This window comes from Homo sapiens, chromosome 20 (genome assembly GCF_000001405.40).
Source record: "Homo sapiens chromosome 20, GRCh38.p14 Primary Assembly".
NCBI classification, from domain to species: Eukaryota; Metazoa; Chordata; class Mammalia; order Primates; family Hominidae; genus Homo; species Homo sapiens.
This window is the reverse complement of record NC_000020.11, coordinates 44,735,075-44,745,675: the sequence shown is the minus strand read 5'-3', so window position 1 is coordinate 44,745,675 and position 10,601 is coordinate 44,735,075. Positions and strand designations below refer to the sequence as shown.

The 10,601-nt window shown below is 48.2% G+C and overlaps 1 long non-coding RNA gene across 1 annotated transcript in view; it reads left to right on the top strand.

Moving 5' to 3' along the window:
• Positions 1–10,601, top strand: part of KCNK15-AS1 (KCNK15 and WISP2 antisense RNA 1) — a 34,366-nt gene that overhangs the window by 552 nt on the left and 23,213 nt on the right. The window contains exons 2-3 of the long non-coding RNA NR_132377.1: positions 6,742–6,856; positions 8,106–8,165. This is a non-coding gene — a long non-coding RNA (KCNK15 and WISP2 antisense RNA 1). The remainder of the gene's footprint in view (positions 1–6,741; positions 6,857–8,105; positions 8,166–10,601) is intronic.

Below are 10,601 nucleotides of genomic sequence, written 5' to 3'. Positions count from 1 at the left end.
GCAAAGGCCCAAACCCCGGGCCTGCAGAAGTCCTGTTCCCGCCACTAACTCATGTTGTGACCTCGTGCCAGTCTTCCGTCCTTCCTTCCGTCCTTCCTTCCTTCCTTTTTCCCTCCCTCCCCTCCCCCCTCCCCTCCCTTCCTCCCTCCCTCCCTCCTTTCCTTCCTTCCTTCCTTTCACTCCTTTCCCCATCCCTCCCTCCCTTCTTCCCTCCCATCCTTCCTCCCTCCGTCCCTCCCTTCCTCCCTCCGTCCCTCCCTTCCTCCCTCCGTCCCTCCCTTCCTCCCTTCGTCCCTTCATCTCTTCTTCCCTTCCTTCTCTCCTTCCTTCCTTCTTTCATTCAGTCAGTCAATCCTCTGACAAATATTTACCAAGCACCTACTGGTGCAAACAACATTCCTGTTGTAAGTAAAAGTGATATCCTAGTGAGGAGGGCCAGCTAACAAACAAGAAACTAATTTAAGACAGGAGTGAGAAAGAAGGAAAAGGGATAGTTTCTTGGGGAAGGTGAACCCCACCATCTAAGGTGGTGCTTAAAACAGAACTGAGCATGACTTGGCAGCCAGAATAGCAGAGGAGCCGGTGTCGCTGGAGCCCAGAGAACTGGGGGGCAGATACTTTGGGGGAGCAGAAGGAAGGCAAAGAGGCAACTTCACACAGGGTCTTACAAGCCCTTATGTGGGTTTATTGAAAGCCATGGAAAGGCTGTATTACAAACACAGGCAAACAAACACACACGCAACACCACCACAATGATCTGATTCATATTTTTTAAAGAGCCCCTGGCTGTCATGGGGAAAAGGGATGGTGGCTAGGAGTGGAGGCCAGTTCGAAGGCTAGTGTAGTCCAAATGTGTGAAGATGGAGAGAAATGAGGGGATCCGGGATGCACCGGGGAGGTGGAGTTGGGCGCCCAGCTGGCCACATTGCCCAGCCTTTCTTGCACTTAGCAGGGTCTATGTGACCAAGCTTTAGCTCATGGAACATGGGCAGAAGTGACATATGCCACTTCCAGGCCTGGCCCATAAAACCCTGCCCTACACGTGCTCCATCTCTTTCCCCCACCAGACGGCTGAATGCAGAGAACTAAAGTCTTTAGAAGAGAGGGAGCCCACAAGGTGGGAAAAACCTGGGGCTGAATGACACATTGCAAGGTTGTCCCCCAACCCCCAATCAGGAGCCCCAGTTTTGAGCTTCTGTTGTATTAAGTCGCTGACGTATGTTAAGCCCCTGAGGCCCAGCCTGCCGCCTAGGCCCTCCAGGTCCCAGAGGAGGACATACTTCCATATGGAAGCCGCTAGAAAGGAACTCAGTCCTGCCAATACCTTGATTTGAGCCCAGTGAGACCTGTGTAGCCCTCCACCCTACAGAACTAGAAGATAATACATTTGCCTTAAGCCACTAAGTTTGTAATAACTTATTGCAGTGGCAACAGGGAACTAATACAGTGGGTGTGAGGATTAAATGAACCAGTAGATGTGGAGCCGGAGAGCTGAGCTTGGCCCTGAGGATTTGTTTAGAAGTGTGAGCCACTGTTACAGATATCACAAGTGAGCAGACGCCCGGGCCTGTAGGGATGTCCAACCCAGTGCCTGTCCGACTCAGTTCCCAGGCAGAATTGGGCCCCAGTACCTGGTAGAGAGGGCCTGGACCCCTTCTTCTCCCGAGAAGCAGGATGAAGCTCAGTGGGCTGGAAGCAGCGTGCTGGTGCCACTACCTCAGCCTGATTTTTAGCAACAGCATCAGTAAGTTTAATATTCCGATTTCTGCTCAGACTTCAGAGGAGCAGAAACCTGGGCTGAAGTCTCAGAGTCGGAGTGAGTGGGGCTCCAAGGACCCACAGCCCAACAAGAGCCCGAAAAGAGTTTGTGGAGACAGTGGGATGTGGGGAATGGCCTGATCTTAGGGGAAGGGCAGGGCCCACTCAGGGGAGAGTTAATGAGGGCATGGTTGTGGACACAGCTGGAGTCAATAAGACCTGAGTTTGAATTCCAGCTCCTCCACTTCCTAGCTGGGTGTATTAGTCTGTTGTCACACGACCATGAAGAACTACCTGAGACTGGGTAATTTATGAAGGAAAGAGGTTTCATTGACTCACAGTTCCACATGCCTGAGGAGGCCTCAGGAAACTTACAATCATGGCAGAGACCAAAGGGAAGCAAGCTATGTCTTACATAGCAGCGGGAGAGAGAGAGAGGAGGGGGACTGCCAAACACTTTTAAACCATCAGATCTCGTGAGAACTCACTCACCATCACGAGAACAGCATGGGGAAAACTGCCTCCATAAGTCAATCACTTCCTACCAAGTCCTTCCTTCAACACGCAGGGATTACAATTGGAGATGCAATTTGGGTGGAAACACAGAGCCAAACCATACCACTAGGTGTCCATAAACAGAACACTTGTACTTCCCTGTGCCTTGGTTTTCTCATCTGAGAAACGGGGGTAGTAATGACCCTCACCCCATAGGACCATGTAGAGGATTATAGAAGCTGTTTTGTGTCACTATCCAGGTGCCCCTTAGCCAGTAGCTGCTTCTCCTCCTTTTTCACAACTGTCTGTGTGCAGATGTCGAAAATTCTTTTTCCAGAAGCAGGGACAGGGCCAAACACTCTGCCTGTGCGAGGCATAATCACAGACATCACTCACAGGACTCTCACCTTACAGCCCAGGACACAGAGGCACTTAACCTGCCAAGAGATACTTAACCTGCCAAGTCCTCCCAGCCAGGCTGTGGCTGAGCCAGGATTGAACTCAGGGCTGTCCGGTTCCCCAGGTCATGATCCTTGTCAGGCCAGATGCTGCTGGCTTTATCCCCCTCCCATCGCCTCTCTGGCTCTCACTTGCCTTGTCTCCGGGATGGGGCCGAGGATCCGTGGCTGGCTTTGCTTGCCCACTGTTGTGAGGGCCCCATGATGCGCAGCTGAGAGGCGCTTGGTCAGGTGTGCCCACTGGGGGTGGATGTTACTGGGGCCATGGGGGAGCTGTCTGGCTCCGTCAGGCAGATGACTCTGCCCTGTGCTTGGCATTTTTGGTTCAGTGGCTCTATTTTAAGCCAGAGGAGGTTAGACTTTGTGTATGTGTGTTTCTCAGGTTGGAAAGCTGTCAGCTGAGCAGTCACCAAAAACAGCAACACCCGAGGCACCTCCCCCTTCAGCTTACCTCCCTCTGCCTCCTCTCCTCCTTCCTCCTTTGGAGACCTGAGGGAACCCAGTGATTTTCCTCTGTCCCATCGCCCCAGAGGCACACCCGCGTCCCTCAGCGGGGCCTTGGATTTTCTTCTTTCAGAGCTCCAAGGTTGTCAGCTTTGAGGATGACAAAAAAGGCAATCCCAGTCCCAGGCTGGGTGCTGGGCATGCTTCTAAGCACTTAGGAGTCTAGATCCTTCCAAAGCCTCTGTGAGCCAGGCAAGCCATTCCCATCTCAGGGAGAGGAAACTGATGCTCAGAAGGAGAGAGAGAGACTCACCTAAGGCCACACAGGGTAGGGCAGTGGCAAAGAAGAACATGGGTGTTAGAGTTAGCCAGACCTTGGTTGTGTCTTGGGCAAGTAACTTCACCTCTCTGAGCTTCAGTTTCCTTGTCTGTGACCTGGGGCTAGGAATATCTGCCTGACAGTGTTCCCGTGAGGATTAAATGGAGTGTATGAAGAACTGCTCAGCACAGAGTATGCCCAGCAAATGTTAGTACTGTCCTCCACCCAATTAATTTCTTCTTTGCCCTTTTCCACACTGCCTATTCCCCAGGGCTACTGGGATCTTAAGGGATTGATTTCTAATAGTTAGACTATAGCCCAGTAATTTTCCAGAAAGCCAGAAGATCTGGCACGTTCCCTAATAACATCTCTCTCTTGTCTCTCTCCTGAAAGAATGGATTATTTTAACCTCAGGGAACAGTAGGTGCCAGCTCCTTAGAGGTGGCCGCTGTGGCTTTTCTGTAGCCTGACTGTCATTTAGGGATCTGGGTTACAAGAAATTAAAAGCTGTCTCTTGCTAATTTAAGCAACGTTACTGGTAGGAGTTTGGGGTCTCTCATAATTTTCTGGGCACTGAAAGACAAAACATACGGTTTGGGGGACCCAGAGAGATGGAATCTTGAGTATCACCAGAAAAACACATAGCCACACCCAGTGGGGGAAACCACTGCTCCCAGGCCGATGAGGATATTATTTGGGGGACAAATGACAATTGTCTGAACAAGACTCTGTCTCTAACGGGTTTTAGGCAGGGCTGCTCAGAGAGGTCCTAACATGTGTTTGTGACCATTTCCTTGGAGCCACTGAGAGTTTGTTCTTCAGCCTCATGAGGATCCATATCTCTGAGTTAATGGAGTTATTAAAACCCTTACGCTGGGCTGAGTGTGGTGGCTCATGCCTGTAATCCCAGCACTTTGAGAGGCTGAGGTGGGTAGATCACTTGAACCCAGGAATTCAAGACCAGCTTGGGTCACATGACGAAACCTTGTCTCTACAAAAAATACAAAAAAATTAGCTGGCATGGTGGTGCACACCTATAGTCCCAGCTACTCGGGAGGCTGAGGTGGGAGGATTACTTGAGCCTGGGAGGTCGAGGCTTCAGTGAGCCGTGATCACATCACCTGAGCCTGGGGAGGTCGGTCCATCAGCCACTGCACTTCAGCCTGGGTGACAGCGTGAGACCCTGCCTCAACAAACAGAAACAAAACAAAAAAACCTTTACTGTGGTTTGTTTTAGATTTGAAAATCTAAGTGATAGGAGTATAGAGGTTTGCTAAACCATTCTCTCTACTTTCATGTATATTTGAGAATTTTCACAATAAAACACTTTTTTTTTTTTTTTTGAGATGGAGTTTTGTTCTTGTTGCCCAGGCTGGAGTGCAATGGCACGATCTCGGCTCACTGTAACCCCAGCCTCCTGGATTCAAGCGATTCTCCTGCCTCAGCCTCCCGAGTAGCTGGGACTACAGGCACACACCACCATGCACAGCTAATTTTTTTTGTATTGTGAGTAGAGATGGGGTTTCACCATGTTGGCCAGGCTGATCTCAAACACCTGACTTCAGGTGATCCACCCTCCTTGGCCTCCCAAAGTGCTGGGATTACAGGTGTGAGCCACTGTGCCTGGCCAATAAAACACTTTTTAAAAGAACATTTTCTCTCTGTCCATCCCACCCTATTTTTTCCCCTGCTGTTTATTTGGTCTGAGTGGAAGGTGACTCTGAGAGTTAGAGTAAACGAGAACATTGATTGAGTAGTTAGTATGATCCAAGCACAAAGCAGGCCTCACTTCATTTAATCCTCAGAACAACAGTAGGCATTGTTAATTCCACCCTATAGATGGGGAAATTGAGGCTCAGAAGTATGCAGAGATTTTTTTCAAAGTCACAATTCCAAGGAGAGGGGGAACCAGCTGCTGAGCTCTTGCTCTTGACAGCAGCCCTTCCCTGCCAGTGAGGAGCTTAGCATGGCAGTGTTACAGGTGGCAGTTGCTGCCATATGGCAATTTGAGCCCAGTTGCTACAGACAGAGGCCTGTCCCTTTTCCTCCTGCCAAGGACCACCCCTCCCTTTCCCAGTCAGCATAATATGTTGGAATCAAGAGCTGTCTGTCTGAATCAACGGGGGCAGGACTTGCATTTCACAAGACATCATGGGCTAGAAAGAGTCAAGGCAAAGAAAGAGCCTGAGACGTGAAGAAATACATGTGCTAATGTTAGTGTAACACAGAGCTTCCCTACCCAATGCCTTAGCCAGTAACCATATGTGGCCATTTATAGTTAAATTAATTAAAATTGAATTAAGTTGAAATTTCAAGCCAGGTGCCATGGTGTGAGCCTATTGTCCCAGATACTTGAGAGTCTGAGGCAGGAGGACTGCTTGATTCAAATACAGGCTGTCTGGTTCCAGAAACCTGCCCTTAACATTTATTCATAATCTTCGCTTTATATAGGCTAAGGAGGCTTTTGAGGGAAGGAAAGCTGGTATAATGTCCTGAAGAAAGTCCTGCAGGGGCTGGGCACAGTGGCTCATACCTGTAATTCCTCTCAAAGTGCTGGGATTGCAGGCATGAGCCACCGTCCCTGGCCAATTCTGGTTTCTTTAAAGTGGGGCAAGGACCTGCAGACATTTGTATGGCAACTGGAGTGCAGAATCCCTCTAGATTCTTGTGGGTTTTTTTTTTTCTAGATGTTTTGTAGTTGTTTCTTCCACACCTAATTTGACAGTATTCTTTTTAGCAACCAGTCTTCATTCAGTTTTCAGAAAAACAAATCTCTTCCTTTTGCACTCATATTTCATCAGTTTATGGAATATCTAATTCAGTTACATTGTTACAATATTAAGTGTGCTGTGTGCAAACTGATTTGGGAACAGACCCAGCAGACTGTTGGCAAGCATGCTCTTCTACGGCCAAGAGCCAAAGGCGACCAGGGGCCTAGGGAATGGCTTACTAGCCATAAGCATTCAGTATGCCTGGGGCAGTAGCGTTGCATTCAGAGAGCATGGAGAGCGCTGGTTAGCCTGGCAAGCTGGTTAAACAGATTAGTAAAGAGGACTTTGTGCACTAACTCTGGAAAAGACTCCATAGTGTGGAATTGTCTCTGGAAGACATGTGCCCCACTGGAGACTACATTTCCCAGCATCCTTGGCATCTAGGTGTGACCATGTGACTAGTCTCCACCAATGGAATGTGAGCAGGAGTGGTGAGTGTCACTTCCAGGCAGGGCCTCGAGGAAGTAGGTGAGCTTCTCCATCCCTGTCTGTCTAGATGCAGAGAACCCAAAGCCCTGCAGGATGGCAAAGCTGCAACATGGAAGTCACCCGGATCACCACGTAAAGGAAATCTCTCCAACCAGGAACAAACACCTGCCTTGCAATATTAGGTAAGAGATAAACTGCTATTGTGTTAAGCCACTAGATCTTGGGGGCTGTTCGCTATAGCAACTAGCATTACCCTCTTTAATACACTTCCCATATAAGGCTGTCATGAGGATTAAGTTAAATGACACACATGTAAGAGACTCTTAAATGGGACTTTTCCTATTGTCTCAGATTTACAGCTAAAGCCCCAAAGCCAAGGACGGACAAGAGGTGTCAAATACCACCATATCATGCCTGCAGGAACTTTTTTTTTTTTTTTTTTTTTTTTTTTTTGGAGACAGGGGTCTCACTCTGTCACCTACGCTGGAGTGCAATGGTGCGATCTTGGCTCTGCAACCTCTGCCTCCTGGGCTCAAGCTATCCTCCCACCTCAGCCCCCCAAGTAGCTGGGACTACAGGCACAAGCCATCATGCCTGGCTAATTTTTGTATTGTTTGTAGAGATGGGGTTTCGCCATGTTGCCCAGGCTGGTCTCGAACTCCTAAGCTCAAGCAATCCAACCTCCTCAGCCTCCCAAAGTGCTGGAATTACAGGCGTGAGTCACTGTGCCCACCCCCTGCAGTACTTTCTTCAGGACGTGGAAGAGGCCATTGCTAGGCTCTCTCTGGTCCTCCAAAGGCCAGAGCCCATATTGCAGTTCGGGACATGGCTGCTTTCCAAACTAGGATGGGATAATTTTTTAAATCCCTGGGCTGGGAGACAGGAGGCCTGGTTCTCAAATGGACTCTGTCCAAGACTTGCTAAATGACCATAGGAAAAACACTATTCTACATGGACCCCATTGTGGCCCACCTATTCATGGCAGAGGAGTAGGCAAGAGAAACACAGAAACACCCTCTAAGTGCTTTGCTGAGGGCCCATTAACCTCAGGAAACAGAGCCCTGAAGATGTTGTGAGTCCTCTTCTCTCAGGGCCATGGAACCTTCCCCCCACCTCCTCTCCCACTGCCAAGCTTGATCCCCAGGGCTCTGAGCCACACATTCCAAGGTAGAGCTTGAGCCACACGAGTCCCCATAACCTGCATTTGCACCCTTCTTTACCTGCACGGTGTGAATGTTCACCTAGAGCCAGGAAAACAGCACAAGAGGTACCCACCAATGAGGAGTGGGTGTCTGGGCTGTTTCCAGACCCCATGGCAACTACATTTCAGAGCTGGGCCTGTGTTCAAGGGACTCAGGCAAGTAGTTGAGATAATAATAATGTTAATGTTTGAAAAGATTGTAGCATAGTGGAATATTCTCCACCTTCCAGGTCCTTCCTAGGGCTTGGTGCATGTGCATATCTCCTTCCGGAATCCTGGTCAATACTAAGGTAAGATGAAAAAACTGCGGGTTTGGGATAAGCAGGAAAAAAGAAGCAAACTCTCTTAGTGGCGGAACTTACTGAAGTTAAGCTTCGAGTCTGTATTGGTCAGGACTCTTGGTTGCAAGTGACAGAATCCCAACTCTGTTAGTGTGGTTAAAGGTTAAGCTGCTGTAACAAAGATGCCCAGCAGTGCAGTGACTTAAAGAAGACAAAAGTTTACTTCTTTTTCAACTGCGCTGCCAAGTTGTCAAGGCAGCTATGATCCAGGGGGCCACTCAGAGACCCAGGTTTCTTCATAGTGCACCCCATCATTCCTTAGGACAGTGGTTTCCAGAGTGGTCCTTGGACTGGCAGCTTCAACAGCACCTGGGAACTTGTTAGAAATGTCAATTCTCCAGCCCTATCCTGGGCCTAGCGAATCAGGAACTTTAGGTGTGGGGCCCAGCCATCTGTGTCTTTACAGGCCCTCCGAGTGATTCTGCAAGTTTGAGAATCACTGCACTGCCCCAGGATACTATTCCTGTCTGCACAGTGGAAGCTGGGGCACAGAGGGTTGCAGCCAATGGGAAGGGGAAAGAACTCGAAGCAGGCACACAAACTTGTAAGGCTCAGGTCAGGAAGTGGCACATGTCACTTCCCTTCATATTTTATTGGTAAAGATTGAGTCACATGGCCACACCTAGCTGCAAAGGAGACTGGGAAATGTAGTCTAGGCATGTGCTCAGATAGAAGGGAAATCATCTGAGTAGGAGAAAGAGGCAGTGGAAAGCTCTGTGAACTCAGCATTCTGGTCACTGGGACAGTATAAAATTTGAGATCATTTGTTTCATGACTTTGAACCATGACTATCTGTCCCATGGTAAAATTCCTATACTAGAGAAAGAAGGTAGTTTATCCACATTCTTGTCTAACACAAACATTTGACATTTCTTTATTGTGAAATATTTAAGACATTGTGGCAAAGACTGATGGATGTTTGTGATAGCACATGAAATGTAGATAGACTACATTTCCCAGCCTCCCTTGCAGTTGGGTGTGACCATGTGACTGAGTTTTAACCAATGAGACAAGAGCAGAAGTTCTGTGTGCAACTTCCTGGCTCCGGCTCTCCATGAATTGATTGTCTGGGCTTCCTCCCTGACCTAGTCAGGCCTTACTGGATGCAGATGATTGGGAGAAGGAGAGAGGAAGGAGGAGCCCTAGACGAAGGATCCTGAGTCCCTGTATCACCATGTAGGGGAGCCCACCAAGCAGAAGCACCCATAGGGAATGTTACGTAACACACATAGACTTTGTGCTTTGGCTAGTAAGCATTTTGGCAGTGACGTTCCAATGGCGCTGGTGGTAGTGGAAGTGGATGCAGGTGATAAAGGGGTACATTGTCTGTACAGAATTTTAAAACAGTAATGAAAAGGTCTAAAAGTCAATCTGCTTTTTATTATCACCACATGCCAGCAATTCTAAACATTAGTGTTAAAATATTCCTTCTCACCAGGGAGAAAACTCCCACTGTTAGAAGCATTTGAACCAGAGCGATTCCATCTTGAATAGGGGCTGGGTAAAATAAGGCTGAGACCTGCTGGGCTTCATTCTCAGATGGTTAAGGCATTCTAAGTCACAGGATGAGATAGGACGTTGGCACAAGATACAAGTCGTAAAGACCTTGCTGATAAAACAGGTTGCAATAAAGAAGCCGGCTAAAACCCACCAAAATCAAAATGGCCTCGAGAGTGACCGCTGGTCGTCCTCACTGCTAGACTCTCACCAGCGCCATGAGAGTTTACAAATGCCATGGCAACGTCAGGAAGTTACCCTATATGGTCTAAAAAGGGGAGGCATTAATAATCTATCCCTTGTTGAGCATATCATCAAGAAATAACCATAAAAATAGGCAACCAGCAGCCCTCGGGGCTGCTCTGTCTATGGAGCATTATTCCTTTGCTTTCTTAATAAATTCACTTTCACTTTATGGACTCGCCTTGAGTTCTTTCTTACGCGAGTTCCAAGATCCAGATCCCTCTCTTGGGGTCTGGACTGGGACCCCCTTCCTGTAACACTACCACCTCCCCTGGTCCCTTGGTATGCCACTGGATTTCGGGTTTATTTATTACTGGGATCTGGTTTACCCTAGCTAATAAAGACAGGCATAAAGGTATAAATAGCAATGACGAACATCCATATGTACAACATGTTTTTTAAGGAAAAAAACATTACAAATATGACTGTTGACATGAACATTTAAAATAAATTTAGATTTATTCTGGCAACTGCAGTCTGATACTTAAGCAATCTTCCTGACGTGGGGAAAAGACTCAGGGAGACTTTGCATTCCACAGATGCCACATCAGCCATCTGGAGTAGGCAGCGCAGCACCAGTTTCTGCCACCAGGTTCTGATTTAGCCGACTTCTTGATTGCAACCTGTCTTACCACAAGGTCTTTA